This window comes from Homo sapiens, chromosome 18, assembly GCF_000001405.40.
Source record: "Homo sapiens chromosome 18, GRCh38.p14 Primary Assembly".
NCBI classification, from domain to species: domain Eukaryota; kingdom Metazoa; phylum Chordata; class Mammalia; order Primates; family Hominidae; genus Homo; species Homo sapiens.
The window spans coordinates 26905256-26921581 of record NC_000018.10 but is presented as its reverse complement, the minus strand read 5'-3'; the positions used below and the strand labels follow the sequence as shown (position 1 = coordinate 26921581).

Genomic DNA, 16326 nt, shown 5'->3' with positions numbered 1-16326 from the left:
TTGGAAGAAAATGGAGTTAGATGGGGGCTGGGAGGGATGTCATCAAACCCGAATAACAGCTTTTATAAGGTGGATGACATTGAGATGAGGAGTTCCAGGAGAAGGTCTGGTGGCCACCCTTGTGGGTTGCTGGTGCCATTACTTTAGAGAATTAACCCTTTTCCCATATCTCAATTTGGTTAGACTAGAGGAAACTTACTAGCACTCAATAAAACAGGAGGACACTAATTTATATTGAGTGGTGAACCTTTCCCTCATGAGGTTATCTCCCCAGCTAAACTAGTCTTTAGAAAGTTGCTTGGAGATCCAAGACTTCCAGCAACGAGAAATGGATAAACAAGAAAGACATTGCATCTAGTCTGCATGAGGGCTCATGTGACATTCCTACTCTACATCCAAGTTATTTCTCTTCTTACTGAAATATTCAAGTCCACTACATTTGATGTCTTTCTCCCCCAGATAGGATGAAAGGAACTTTTCAAGGCTTGTGCCTTTTTTTATACTTTCCTTTCTTATATTCTAGTTCAGTAGTCCCCAAATGCTATGACTGCCACTGGAGTACCTGGGGATCTTGTTGAAATTAAAGTCAGGGGCCTTACACTCAGACATTCTGATTCAGGATGTCTGCAGTAAGGCCTGGAAATCCGGATTGCTGGCAAGCCCTCGACAGGTTTGGAGACAGCGTTGAGTGACTTTGAACTGATCTGATTTGGCAGGCAGGTTAAACACGAAGCCTCCACATCTACTTTACTGCAAGCAGATTCCCATGTGCTTATTTTATTTGTTTTCTCTTTTGCCAAAGGTTTATTTAAACACAGATTCTCATCACCTTAACAAGAATTGGTCAATTGTTTATTCAAGTTTAACTTGACCTTTTGGTCAATGTTGTTTTTCTTCAACAAGGTCATAAAACAGTTGTTTAGAAGACCACTATTAAATTAGAAGCACATTTACTTATTCAAGAATTATTTCCTTAACATCTTCTATGCGCCAGGCAGTGTGCTTAGTACCACAGAGAGCAAGAAAGATAAGACCTCTCTGCAGTTATATTCTAGTGCAATGGAGGTAGAGTGGGGTGAAAAAGACAACAGAGAAGGAAATAAATAAAATCATTTCTCAGTGTGATTAGTGCTATGAGAAAAATAAGCAGGGTTCTGCAGGAAATATTTTGAAAGGGAGGGAAATAACCTAGACAGGGTGAATAGGGAAAGCCTTTCTACAGAGGTGACTTTCCAACTGAGAGCTGAAGAATGAAGAGCCAGTCATGCTGGCTGTTAAGACCTGGGTAACAGTGAAAAGTGGTCAAAGAATTGCAAACCAGGAAATAACACTGAACTGGAAGGTGAGACAAGAGTGGTCAGAAAGATGGTGGGAATAGTAAAGGCTCTGGTGATAACCAAGTTTGATGTGAAGTGGAGAGCTCCTCTGTTAAAAACAAAGTGGTCAAGGAACTGAGAGTTGATTGGATGTCAGAGTCACTAAATGTAATGACAGGAGCTGAGTTAGAAGCTGGAGTGTGTAAAGTGGACAGATCAGTGATAAAGGTAGATGACAACAAGAGGAGGGGGAAAGGGAGACTTAAGGAGAACACATTGATTTCACAGAAGCAGAGGGCTTTGCTGGGTGATGTCCTGGAAGCAGCCGTGGGCTGCAGGGAAATCACTCCCTATCTTCTGGCTGGAGAGACAAGTAGTTCAAGGAAGTCAAGTTTCACCTACTTGAGAAAGTGCAAGAGACACAGAGTGTTGGGAGTCAGCCAAGTTTCATTTACAGAGAGTCTTGGAAACAAACATTCCAGAAACCCCTGGAGATTAAAGGGGAATTTGATGGCCACAAAGCAGAAAGTCCAGAGGCCACAGGGGAAGGTGGATTTTGTTTTTATTTCTGATTGTCAAGCAGAGAAGAGACCTGGTGAGGGCATATGTAGGGACACACAAATTATAGTCTGAATAATAATGGACAAATGGGGAGGCTTTAAATTCACCAGGTCCCTGGGATTAAAGTACTATAACTACTACTACTGCTGCTGCTGCTAAAACAACAATAATAGTAGTTATTATTTATAGCAGTGTAATAGTATAAATATCATGGCAGTTTTATATTTGGCCTGTGCTAAGTACTTTCCATGCATGTGCACCCATAACCCTATGGTCTGTCAAACCACAGTCAAATTTTATATTTTCAGTGACAACTTTATGTACTACAAATCACTGATCAGAGTAAAGAAGCACAAAGGGCTTTGAAGTAATCCTGGCAGTCTCTGGAGAAGACAGCAGACAAATGGTTTTAGAGTTAAAACTCCAAATAGACGGTCCAATGGTATGGAAGATTTGGAGTGGCCGTTTCAGGGGGTGATATGGTTTGGCTGTGTCCCAACCCAAATCTCATCTTGAATTGTAGCTCCTATAATCCCCACGTGTCATGGGAGGGACCAGGTGGGAGGTAATTGAATCATGGGGGTGGGTTTTTCCCATGCTGTCCTCGTGATAGTGAATAAGTCTCACAAGATTTGATGGTTTTATAAAGGGCAGTTCCCCTGCACACTCTCCCTCTTGCCTGCCACCATATAAGACAGGCCTTTGCTCTTCCTTTACCTTCTGCCATGATTGTGAGGCCTCCCCAGCCATGTGGAACTGTGAGTTCATTAAACATCTTTTTCTTTATAAATTACCCAGTCTCGGGTGTGTCTTTATTAGCAGCATGAGAACAGACTAATACACGGGGCTATACACGGGGCTGTACACGTTGGCATATGGTATTCAGGGGGTTATTCACACAGTCCTCTTGCACTAGAAAAAAAAGCAGTGCCCTTCAACCTCAGCTGGTGGAATGACCATGATGTCTGGAGGTGGCTCCATGAACGGTGCTTCATTCCTCTGTTCTATTGCTTAATTTGCTAGAAAATTACTAATTATCCTTGAAGACCTAATTCCATTCATTCATTCACTTGTTCATTCCACAAATATTTGAGAGAAATTATTATAGGCTGTAGACCATTCTAGACACTATTGGGGATACAATGGTTAAAAATTGTGTATACACACACACACATATATATGTACTATATATATATATATGCAATCATGTGTATCATGTATATATATATTTGCAATCATGTTTATATTCCCTAGGAAACTTTCCCCACCACTCCCTCCACCTCTAGGCTGATGACACCATGCATTATGTCCACAGCACAGAATTTATTCATTTACTTTTCCAATAACATGCTGACAACCCTATATGTATATATCCAGTCCATTCCTCTCCACACCATCCTTTTCAAGTCTAAGTGAGATCATGTTACTTTTCTACCCAGAGCCCTACAAAAGTTCCCTAGTTTACCCAGAGTAAAAGCCAAGGTCCTTAAAATTTTCATCCCTACCAGAGGATGCCACCTTGTAAATCCCGTCTTCCATGTCTTCTTTTACTGTGAGAGTTGTAGGAAGGATGTGGCAAGATGAACAGTATGTGGTAAATGGACTCATTCATCCTACTGAAAAGATAACTACATTTTTGCTCTACCTTGATACAGTTTTATAGAGCAGGACGTCAAGTAGACTTTTCTGGATTCCTTAGTCATTCTTCACTTGGGAAAGAGGGAAGGTCTCATATGTGAATGAGATTGTATACTATGATCATAATAAATTCTTAAATTATTGTGATAAATGCTTTAGAAAAATAAAACATTTTCCCAGGAAAAAAAAAATACATGATTTTTGCAAGCACTTAGAAAACTGAAGTGGTCATCGAGATTTATAATTAGCCTTGCCAAAATTTTAAGTTGTAATTTATGATTTTGAACTATTCTGTGCATTACAGAGTGCTCCCTAAAAACAATAAAAGTTTCAATCTCAAAACATCTCCATTTTGTATCTACATTCAGGTGCACAAACTAAAACAGTACTTGAAGATGACATACTTATTAATATCCCAAAAGTCATAGATGCTCAGAATGGTTGAGTTACATCCTATTGCATTACAGGCAAAGCCAGGACAAAAATCCAGGGCTCTTTCCTCCCTATCCTGTAGATGCCATTTCTCATTGCTACATTTTCTGTGAAGAAGCTCACTACAAAATGTATGTTCAGCATGCCTTGCTAAATTGTTCTGGCAGCTTATATGAAATATGCTCTCCTTGATACTATTTTAAAACAAATATGTGAAGTTCCTTATCCAGTATACCCACACTCGTGACTGTGCTTTCAACATTTCTCCTTCTTTATTTTAACAGAACCCCAAGTTTCACATGCCTGAGGATGTACGAGAAAAAAAGGAAAATCTTCTACTCAATTCTGAGAGATCTACTAGGCTCTTAACAAAGACCAGTCATTCACAAGGAGGGGATCAAGCTTTAAGTAAGTCCACAGGGTCACCAACAGAGAAGTTGATTGAAAAACGTCAAGGAGCTAAGACTGTTTTTAACAAGTTCAGCAACATGAATTGGCCAGTGGACATTCACCCTTTAAACAAAAGTTTAGTCAAAGATAATAAATGGAAGAAAACTGAGGAGACCCAAGAGAAACGAAGGTCTTTCCTTCAGGAGTTTTGCAAGAAATACGGTGGGGTGAGTCATCATCAGTCACATCTTTTTCATACAGTATCCAGAATCTATGTAGAAGATAAACACAAAATCTTATATTGTGAGGTACCTAAGGCTGGCTGTTCCAATTGGAAAAGAATTCTGATGGTACTAAATGGATTGGCTTCCTCTGCATACAACATCTCCCACAATGCTGTCCACTACGGGAAGCATTTGAAGAAGCTAGATAGCTTTGACCTAAAAGGGATATATACCCGCTTAAATACTTACACCAAAGCTGTGTTTGTTCGTGATCCCATGGAAAGATTAGTATCAGCCTTTAGGGACAAATTTGAACACCCCAATAGTTATTACCATCCAGTATTCGGAAAGGCAATTATCAAGAAATATCGACCAAATGCCTGTGAAGAAGCATTAATTAATGGATCTGGAGTCAAGTTCAAAGAGTTTATCCACTACTTGCTGGATTCCCACCGTCCAGTAGGAATGGACATTCACTGGGAAAAGGTCAGCAAACTCTGCTATCCGTGTTTGATCAACTATGATTTTGTAGGGAAATTTGAGACTTTGGAAGAAGATGCCAATTACTTTTTACAGATGATCGGTGCTCCAAAGGAGCTGAAATTTCCCAACTTTAAGGATAGGCACTCTTCCGATGAAAGAACCAATGCTCAAGTCGTGAGACAGTATTTAAAGGATCTGACTAGAACTGAGAGACAATTAATCTATGACTTTTATTACTTGGACTATTTAATGTTTAATTATACAACTCCATTTTTGTAGTTTGCATTCATTTTCTAAAACCCTGTATATACTTAATGATGATAAGTTCAAATCAGCTGTAATTTTTCTATAATTCTCTGTATGACAGAAATTTAACCAAGTGCAGTTGTCTTGATTTAATGTAGATTTTTACCAAATAGTATGACACCAATTGGCACAAAGTTATAGGAAAATCACCTACAGGAGATGTAAACAACTTGAGTTGCTCTAAAATGTTTGGAAAAGAGCTGCTTTTGCATTATGAATTATATTGTTGAAGCAATAACCTAGCCAGCTGTTGCATTAGCTAAAGCAGCCTCTTGCAATGGTAGGAAAAAAGGATCTCAAATAGCATGAGTGTATGTCTATATCCTGAAATTTATTGTCTAAAATGCATGAATATATTTTTAGCAGTCTGTGGCATATTAATCAAACTGTTGAATTGTTTTCTTACACCCTGGAAATCTTTCTATCAACTATAATGATAAATCCATTTTGAAGTGATATTTTGGACTTAGGCATTTTACTTTAGATTGGAAGGCATTATGTGATTTACAATATGAGAATATAGCAGAAAAACCAGATGAGGCTGTGGCTTTTTATATTCAACAGCCAATAAAAAATGCACAACATGCTAAGATCAAAGCAACAAAACCAACCTTCTTCTTCCAGAAAAACTTAAGGGAATTGATTCTGTTTTCTTTTGAGCCTTCCACAAAGAGACAAAATGAACACAAGCACTAAAGGTCTACATTTCTGAAGCAGGCAGTTGAGAAGCTTAAGTCTCATCAGATATAAATGTGCTCCTAATTCTGGTTTAATTGAGCAGGGGGGAAATTGTTTCAGGATGGAATAATCATCAAAAACAAAAGTTGCCATTCTGAATATGGAACTCAAACAATAACAAAGTTTTATAAGTATATTATTTGAATCAAAGCATCATGTGCATAGCTTTATATGTGGAATACACCCTAAGAATAGCTTTTGTTTTCAGTTTAATTATTCAGCTTAGGAATGACTTTTTAAAAACTAATATACCACTTCAAAGATAGGTTATGTTCTAGAGAATAAACATAAAAAGAGCCCCTAGAAATGTGTTTAATAGGCTTATGCATAAGTAAATTAAGGTATTTTCTTTTTAAGTTTAAATATTCTATACTAACAAAGTCAGATACCATTGCATTCAAATATTAAATCAAAGTCCTTAGAAAAATAGGTCCATGTGTCACCCTTATGAATAGTTGTAATGCATTTTGGAATTTTTTTCCAAGGGATCCTAAATTAGATCCCTTGGGGAAAAAAAAAGGGATCATTTTGGATGGGAAACATTTGGATGGGAAACCTACTTTAATTGGTCGACTTTTACCCCGAGTTAAGAAAATCACAAGTCTTTCAAACCCTGCTTAAATGCTTTTCCTGAACATCTTCCTCTTCCTAAGCTATCATTTTTTTCTTATCAGTAAATATTCAGTAATGGCTTTCAAAGAACAGTAGGTATTAATAGTTGAATGTTAATAGACCAAGATAGTTGCAGTCATACTTATTTCATTTTGATTTTCTATTTCATGGCTGAGTATTCATGAATTGCTTCGCTCCTTACACACACCTGCCGTGTCCCATCTGTGTCTCCTAAGGAGTAAGTAAACTGCAATGGGCTGAGAGATCAAAAGTATTAAACCTTCTAATCCAACCTTTTACTACTTTTCCATGCCATTAACTCTTGCCTCTAGACCATACACTTAAGCTGTGCTCTCAGTTTTTAAGACGTTTTACTCTGGAGTAATCTAAATTACATAATTTAAAATTTTGCTGCACCATGTAGAGTAGATTCCTAGTAATTTAGGGAAATTGAAATTATCTTTTTATGGAGAGAGAAAATAAAAAATATTCCAGAAGCCTGAAATTTTATTCCTAAGAAACACAAAACTTGCTTTATATGAAATCCACTATAAAGAATAAAGGCAATTTCCTCAAAAGTATTCCTAAAACTATATAAGGAACAGACAAAGAACTTTCAATAGCTTTAGAAGGAAAAAAATGGAAACAACAGTCCTACCTCTCTTATTGGCATTTGTAATGCATTGGGCAGGGTGGAATGCATACCTATATAAATGTTTGGCTTTGATGGTGGAGAGGAGGGATGAGTGGAAGAAAATGATACCCAGTGTTCTCTACGGAAAGCTGTATTGTACCTTTTGCTGTATATGTTCCTTTCCTGACCCTTTCCAACGAGCCCGTGTCACCATGGGTCATTCTTTTCCTAAATGGGCTCTATGATGCCAAGTGACACCCTGTGTAGTTGCAAGTTCCAAAAGCCATGCATGTCTTTGCCAAGTAAGAACAAACTTTTTATGTACCTGCTCTTCATTTTAGATGGCTTATTTTCATGTTAGGACCAAAGAAGCCAGTCATCATCCTGGATTACTTGTGAGTTTAAAGCCAAACTCCATTTTTCTCTCCTGACTTATTTGGCCTTGCAGACCAGCTCACATTCACCTTTGTCATTTCTGCCTGTGCATAAATCCAGGTGGGAACACCACTGTTCTTTAGGACCATCACAATTTCATGAATTTAATTCCTAAAGGCAAGTGACCAAATCCAGACTCATCTTCCAGATGTCCAAAGTTCCCATTTTAACATTAGGTGCAATTATAAGTCCTCCAATTAAACCCTAAGGATCCTATTTGTTTTTATAGGCAGCAGTAACACAATGGGCAGACCCCTTCGCTCTGTTATTCCCCTGTCTGGAATTACTATCAGGGTAACAAGTTGGCAATTAAATCCAAAACCACAGTTATGTAACCTGTAAACTATCTATAGATGTGCAATATTGATGTGATTGTGCCCAGAAACTGCCATAAACTTCAATGGAAATGTATGTACAGGACATCCAGTTTTCGGATTTTCTCAAACATTTGGAAATATCCATTAATTCAATGGAAATGTGATGCCACTTGCTAGATGTCTATAAAACATTCTGTAACAGAAAATAATAATATTATTATCATTAGGGAATTAGTAGTTCTAATTCAAGAACTACTTGTATGTCATTTTTAATTAGAAAGAGGAAAAATACTTTTACATTTTATTGATGTATTATTATTCTTATCTCCTAAAATGTATAGTATTTAGCAGAAGGTATATATAAGAAGATGCAGAGAATTTTGAATATTAGAGTGCCCTTTGAAAAAATCACTTGCTGAATTAATAGAACTTGGGATTAGGCTAGGACTACAGTAAACGTCTCCCTCCTGTGCATTCTCATGTGGCCTCTCAGGGCATCCCAGCCTCTAGGCCTTCATGGGGCGTGGTGAAGCAGATGTTTTGCCCAGGGCTAACCCTCCCAAGATGCTCTGATACTTGAAAAAGGATTGGCCAAAGGCGTTTAATTATAGCTCAACTACCTGAGAACCTTAGGCCAAGGCTAATTCAATTTAGTCCTACATTTAGGCTCATACCTTCTCAATCTCAATCATGATCATTATACAGTAATCGTATGCATGATCCTAGCTAACATTTATTCAATACTTACTGGGTGTCAGGCACTCTTCAAGTAGTTTACATGCATTAATTTAATCTCCATAGCCAGTCTAACATAGGTAATATTATGTAGCCCTCTCCCTTTCCATCTATCATAAAGGAAAGTAAAGCAGACTATAGCTGAGTAACTTGCCTAAGGAGACAGAGATGATAAGTAGGTCAGAAGCCAGGATGAAGCCAAGCAGCAAATACCACTACCAAACTCTTTGCTTAGAATATTACAAACCAATATTTACTTTTGCTTTCCGTTACCTCTATTCAGGATAGGTAGAGGCAAAAACAATATATTGGAATCCTGAAATTTTTTCCATACAAATATGGGTGTCTGTGTGTGTGTGTGTGTGTGTGTGTGTGTGTGTGTGTGTATTTAGCTAGTTAGTTATCACATTTCAAATCAGCTTATTTCTTTATTCCTGCTGAGTTAAACTGACAGGTTCAAAGACTTTGGAAGAAATTAGGTTTCCTCCCCACAACTTTTTTGTAATCCTTAGTTAATCATGGAAACAATGTTTTTAAGAAGAAAAAATAGTCCCTGGAACAAATTTAGCCTTGTGAAAACAAAATATCATTTCTTTGACAAGAAATTCCAGACAGCTACAAGACCAGTCAAGGATAAGCAGAATCTAAGAGGAAGAAAGTTCAGGCGAACTTTCCACACATAGGCCCCTGACAGCCACTGCAGATGGTCACGGTTCAGCAAGCTAGTCACACACAGTGAGAACCACTCCTGCTAGAAACAGAGCAACTGTGCATTATCCCCTTCTTCCTGAGTCTCCTTCCCTAGTACTAGTTTGTAGTCAGATTACCCTGAGCCTACACGGGAAGACTGCAGAAAAGAATAGAGGAGCAAGCTGACTTAAACCGACTGAAAAAACACCATGAAACCAGGTGAAAATAAATAAGCTCTTGCTAGAAGATGGCAGACATTTCCCAGGCCTGTGATCATTACCTGAGGAAGGCCAGGTCTGGGGAGTTCAACAGAACATTGCCTCATATCATTTCATTCTCAGAATTTCCTAGTCAGTCACATCTTAGTTTTTCACCAGGATCATATGCTTCCAGGCAAAAGTATTTAAATCCATTTAAGCAGTCATCTTTTTCCATCCCTAAACCTCTCCTCAAGTCTCACACTATATTTGGAATGCTCCCCTCTCTATATATCTGGACATTCATTTCTTGTTAACTCACCAAGGAATCTCTTGAGATTATTCAATTTCAAAATCTCATCTCTTTATGAGCTCCCTGATAGGCAGAAAAAGACAGCAGAGTTTTCCCCTGGTGTAACATGCATCAGATTATTCTCTTACCAATAAATGCAGGCATTCCTTTCCTCGATTTTTTTTGTCAGGGAGGTTCGTTAATTTATTTGTTCATGTGCTATTTATCTCACTTTTTATGAATATAAAATATCTGTTGTTGTCATTGGAATGTCTTAGGTCTTCCAAGAGGAAAGGAACTGTGTCTGTTGAATGCACTTTGTACCATGTCTAGCAAGGCACTCAGTGGAAAGCGTTACTTTAACAGATGCTTTTGATGCTGTTGTTTAAAGGTTCCTGTACAACTTCTTTTAGTGTAGAATTCGTATATTTCTGCCTGTGACCTTCAGGCATCTATAGGACCAGAGGATCTGAAAGGAAGGTGCTAGAGCAGGGCAGCTGAGGGAAGGGAGCTGAGCCACACACCTTTTCTACACTAATAGTCATCCCTTGACCTGAAGGATAGTTGCAGACACAGAAATCTTTTACATTTCTAAGAAATAGCAGTTGCTTGATTGTTTGGGGAAGAAAATTTTGAGAAAAATGCATGATTCTGGTCAACATAAGAGCCATTTACTGAGGATCTACTCAGTAGCAGACACGGGAAAAATACTTTGCATACATTCATTTAATGACATGAAGAGTAAGTCTAACCGTTTCCAAAAGTAGCTTTCAAAAAAATCAAAGTCGAGTATTTTTCCACCTATCATTTCATGAATGAGAAAACTGAGTATCAAAGAGGTTTAATAACAGTCTCTCTGGCTCCAAAGCTGAGACCATACATTGGCAGCCCACGGGGTAGATCTGGCTACAGATATGTTTGGTTTGGCTGACAGTGCATTTTATTTAACATCTGAATTAGCTGCCAACATTGGGCCTCATTAATGACAGGGGATTTGTTACCCTACATTCTATATGCCCACCTGAAAATAGTTGGACAGAGGCAAGGTCAGTCCCTTTAGATGAGGTTGGAGATCTCTAGTTGTTCACACTCTTCACTAATCCACCATCACTCATTCACCTTACTTGCCTGGCCCCTAAGCATCTCACTTTTCAAGTCCTGCTCTGAAGAGTGTATTCCTTCCCCCGCCAAGCTTCCAAAGGAAATCAACTCCTGAACATTATCCTTGACCCTATTTGTGTTGTGCAGGTAGTGAGGTTATCCCATTCCGGGTTTCCATATCCTTGCTCACAGTGCTGCTTGCCCTTTGGTCCTATATCCAGTGGGATCTCCAAACAGTATTTCATTGTTTGGGGAAGTCTCTTTTGACCAATGACAAAGATGTTGGGAGAAATCCAGTACCTTTTTTTGGCATCTTTCTGTCGTAGCCACTGGGTCCCCTGGCAACGACATTCCTTCCCACCTCTTTCTGCAGAGATGAGTCATTCTCCCAGGCTCTTGGAGCTCTAGTATCTAGGGACAGAAACTGGCTCCCACTGCTGCCTCTAGACTGCTGTTCTATAACCTTCATCCAAAAATCTCTTCTGTTTTGCAGGTGTGCCCGCTTCCTCAACTCTAAAAATCACCTGCTTCCCAGCCTTCTCCGAAGATTCTTCTTTCTGATTTATAACATGCCTCTCCACCCTACTTCCTGCTATTATCTGGGTGATTGTAGCACCCCCTGTAACATTCTACTCTCTTGCTTCTTAATGCTCTGACAACCTCCTCCTCCTCCTCTTCCCTCCTCTTCCTCCTCCTCCTCCTACTCCTCCTACTCCTCCCCCCACTTCTATACTTAGAGAGGTGGAGAAAACAGGAGAAGGGATAACTACGACTTTTGTCCTCAAATACCAGGAAAACTAGTAAAACACACAGTATCTCATTTTATGCATTCATTTGCTGAAAATATTTCCAAAGTTTAGAAAAATGATTTTTGGATGTACTATATAATAAATAAAAATGCACTCAGAATGCTAGAGTGTCTACCAACTTAAAAGAACAATATTATTTGTTTGACTGTGATTATCCTTAGGAAAAAATAAGCCCTGATTTAACTTATCAATTTCTGAAAAAAATAGTGTATGGACGACCTGTATCAGAATTAACCTAATTTTTGTTAAAAACATATTCCCAGACCCCATCCAAGATACACAGAATTGGAATCTCTATGAAAACCACCTGAAAATTTCCTTTTTAATAATCTCTTGGGGTACTTCTCGTGTGTGTGTGAATTTTTTAAGTCCTGGTTGATTATAAATGATAATACAACCTGCTCTTTTCATTCTGTCACTGTGTTGAAAAGTTAACAACTCTCAGCTCAGAGAATTGTCAGTGGGTATTGGTACCAAAGTCCTCTGTGGGATTTTGACCAGCACTGAAGCAGAAACTTGGCGTCCGAAGTCTGCCAAGTGCAAGAACTAGAGCTGAAATGATGAAGTGAGGGACGGGGACAGCACTGGGCACTGCCCAAACTTTTTGAAAGCTTTCAGAATGAAATGGGGAAATGGAAACTTTCCTCTGTTTGAAATATAAAAGACAAATGTGTACTGAAGGCAATTTTGGCAACTCAACTTCACATTGAACAAGTGAAGACAATATGAGTTTCTCCAATAAAAACTAAAAAGCTGTTTTCAAATTGACCTAAGATGATTGAAAATGGAAAATATTTGCTATTTGGTTATTAGTTTGAGAGCAAGTGCCCCAGGAAATATTTTGCAATTTAACTTAAATGGTTATAATGTATATTTTCTTGAACTTCATTAAAGGATTTGTCTCTTTTTGCCTTTCTATTAGGTTGAACCATATGACATTGCCAACATTTGACTGACTCTGACATATAAACACAGCCCTTTCATGTGGGTCCACTAACAGTTCTGCTGCTACCTACCCAATTCTAACCACATTGGCTCTCCTCAGAACTATTGGAAATAGCCTCTGAATAGAAGTCCTGCCTTTTTTATTTATTTATTTAAAAATTACTTCTTTTCTCTTTGCATTTTTCTTCTTTTGATATTTTCAATTGTGGCAAAATCCACATAACATAAAATTTTATCACCTTATCATTTTTTGGTATCCTTTTAATGAATATTTTCCTATCCCTCCCCATCTTACCTATTTTTTTTTTTGAGACAGAGTTTCACTCTTGTCGCCCAGGCTGCAGTGCAGTGGCACCATCTCTGCTCACTGCAACCTCCACGTCCTGGGTTCAAGCTATTCTCCTGTCTCAGCCTCCCGAGTAGCTGGGACTACAGGTGCACAGCACCACGCCCAGCTAATTTTTGTATTTTTAGTAGAGATTGGGTTTCACCACATTGGCCAGGATGGTCTCGATCTCTTGACCTCGTGACCCATCCGCCACAGCCTCCCAAAGTGCTGGGATTACAGGCATGAGCCACCATGCCTTGCCACCATTTTTTAAGTGTACAGTTCAGCAGCATTTAGTGTAGTTGTGCAAGCATCACCACTATCCCATCACATACCTTCCTTCCTTGTGAAAAATGGATACTCTGCACCTATTAAACAACTTCACTTTTTGCCCTCCCCCAGTTCTGGCAACCATCATTCTACCTTTTGTCTCTATGAATTTGATAACTTAAAATACCTCATATAAATGGAATCATACAGCATGTGTCTTTTTGTGACTGGCGTATTTCTCTTAGCATAATGTCCTCAAGGTTCATCCATATTGAAGGACGTACCAGAATTTTTTTCTTTTCAAGGCTGAATTGTATTCCATTCTCATTGCCTGGCCTCAATCTCTCAAGACTATAACCCATTCCCAGCTTAATCACCTGATAGCTGCATCAAACCCACTATTATCCAGCCACATGGAACCATTACATTCTCTGAAAACACCTCTTGCTTTTTCCCCTATTTTGCTCACACTATTACACGACCTGAAGTGTCCTTTATTCCTCTTTAAGGACCTCCACATGGGTGCCCCCTCCAAGAGTTGCCTGCCCCGCATGACCATCCCACATTCAGCTCGCTCTACCCTCTCTGCTTGGGGACTCTCTTCCACTCTCCTTGCTTTAGCTCCACCATTAGGCTGATGGTTCCGAAATCTTTTTCTAGGCTATGTTTCTATCACGAACTTTGATTCAGATTCCCAGTTTCTTGTGGGACTGCTTCATCTAGATGTCTCACTGGAGCTTCCAACTCAACATGACCAAAGCTGAACTCATCACCTAACCCCCAAACCTGCTTTCTCCTTATTTGGTGGCAACACCATCCATCTACTCCATCTTCTGAGTTAGGAACCTAGAAGTCAACCCCGATTTCTCCCTAAGCTGACTCCTCACAGCCACAGAATTCAGAAAGCCCATTAACTTCACTGCCTGACTTTTTCTCAAGCTTCTCCTCTCCTCCCATCCATTCTGCTAATATCTAAGTTCAGACTCTCACCTTCTCCTGTCTACAACTCTACGATAATCTTGAACTTCTCTCCCACTCTCATTTCCCTCAATGCCATCCTCCATACAGCTGCCCTTGTAATCACTTTAAAATGCAAATCCAATTCCAGTTCTGTTTCCCACTATACATTCTATATCCTGCATGATCCCAATTCTTCTCCAGGCATATTTCTGGCCATTTTCTGCCTCCTGGCTTAATCTCCAACAGCCTAGAATGGACATAATACCCTAACATTGGATAGTTTTCTTCCTCCTGGGTCTACTCAGCTTGTCCCTCTATTAGGGCACCCACCTACCCCCCTTCACCTCCCCAACACTTCCTAATCCCTAAACTAAGCTCAGGGAGGCATTTGTCATCTCTGCCTGGCTCAGATGAGATGCTCTGCCCTGAGTACTATGAGAGATTGGGAAGCAGGATTCTATGTAGGATGGTTAGGAGCCTGGGGCTTGTCATGAGTAAGAACTGGGTTTGAATTCCGTATCCTCAACTTTCAAATGTTGGGACCTCTGAAATTGCTTTAACTTCTCTCAGTGCCAGTTTTCTCATCTGAAAACTGAGGATAGAATACCTACCTAGTAAGGGGGGTATGGGAAATGCATGTAAAGTATTTAATAAGTGCTCAATAAAATAAAACCATTGATTTATCTCATCATAGCCTGTGCATATTTCTATCTCTGTGCTTAAAGAATTCTAATGATTTATGTATGTGCCTTGCTTAGTAGAATCAATTCCTTGAAGTTAAAGTTTGTGTCTTGTTCATCCTTGTAACCCCAGAGAAGATACTATTTAAGTATTTGTTGAAGAAATGAATGCAGGAACAAATCCAGCACAGGTGTTCCTGCATTCATATGGCACTCTGTCTTTCCCTTAAGGTACATTCTGACTTGTATTATAATACTACAAAAATGTGTCTTATCTTTCCTGTCAGACTCTAAGTTATCTGAGGTCAGGAATCACATCTTACCCAATAAATGTACATACATCAAATTAAATTTGAGGCTTTCAAATGTGGATTCTCGAATTAATGGTTTAGAATAGCAGGCTTCCTAGCCAAACATAGAAACAAATAAGTAAACTAAAAATCACTTTGTTCAATCATCTTTAACCCTTTTCTTTCCATTAGTGCTACACCCTGACCATGATGAACTTTTGTCTCCTCAAATAAGCTATGCTTTTCTCTGCCTCAGGGCTTTCTATGGGCTGCTCTCTGAGCCTGGAATACTGTCAAACAACCTAATACATCACTGTTTTCAGAAAGCCTTTCCTGGTCCACAGATCAGGCTTATTCATTCATAGTTACATTCCCACTGCAAGATGAGATGGTCCTCTGGGTCAGGGAGAGTGTCTCTTAGGTTTCTTCTGTTTTTCTCAGCCCCAAGCGTGTAGTCAACATTCAGTAAACTCTGTTGACTGACTAAATAAATAAAGCTCTGAGTTTCAGTCTTCCTCTTTTCTAAGACATTGGCAAATGCTAGACTGAAACGGATTACACGGGAGTTACTCCACCAGAATTTACTTAAGACTAAATTCCTAAAGACTGCATTGCAGCAACAGAAGCCAGGACAGTATTAGTGCTTTGCTCTATAGCAGAAAAGATTGGGGAAAATTAAAAGGTGACCTCTATGTTGACCAAAAGCATTGACTAGTGTAATTTAGCTTGGCATTAACATGGTAGTGGAACTTGTTCAGTAATTTAAATGAGCAGGGGAAGACTTGAGAACAACTATTCTGTTCACACAGTTGGTCAGCAGTCCATCTGGATCCAGAGCTCTGTCTTGCTGAACCCCTGATGAGCAGTGTTTATTTCTGGTGTGGAGTCTGTAGAACGGGTGCCACTCCTTCTAGGCATTGCTTGCCTGTAGAGGCTTTGCCAT

General features: G+C 39.1%; 1 protein-coding gene and 1 long non-coding RNA gene across 6 annotated transcripts in view; one reads left to right on the top strand and one right to left on the bottom strand.

The window, feature by feature from the left end:
• Positions 1-15101, top strand: part of CHST9 (carbohydrate sulfotransferase 9) — a 278828-nt gene extending 263727 nt beyond the window's left edge. For all 5 annotated transcript variants that reach the window (NM_001256316.2, NM_031422.6, NM_001398493.1 and 2 more), the window contains one exon: positions 4232-15101. In NM_001256316.2, the coding sequence (NP_001243245.1) occupies positions 4232-4254 (23 nt within the window). In that variant the 3' untranslated portion in view covers positions 4255-15101. The remainder of the gene's footprint in view (positions 1-4231) is intronic.
• Positions 1-16326, bottom strand: part of AQP4-AS1 (AQP4 antisense RNA 1) — a 70639-nt gene that overhangs the window by 14365 nt on the left and 39948 nt on the right. The gene's annotated exons all lie outside the window — the stretch shown is intronic.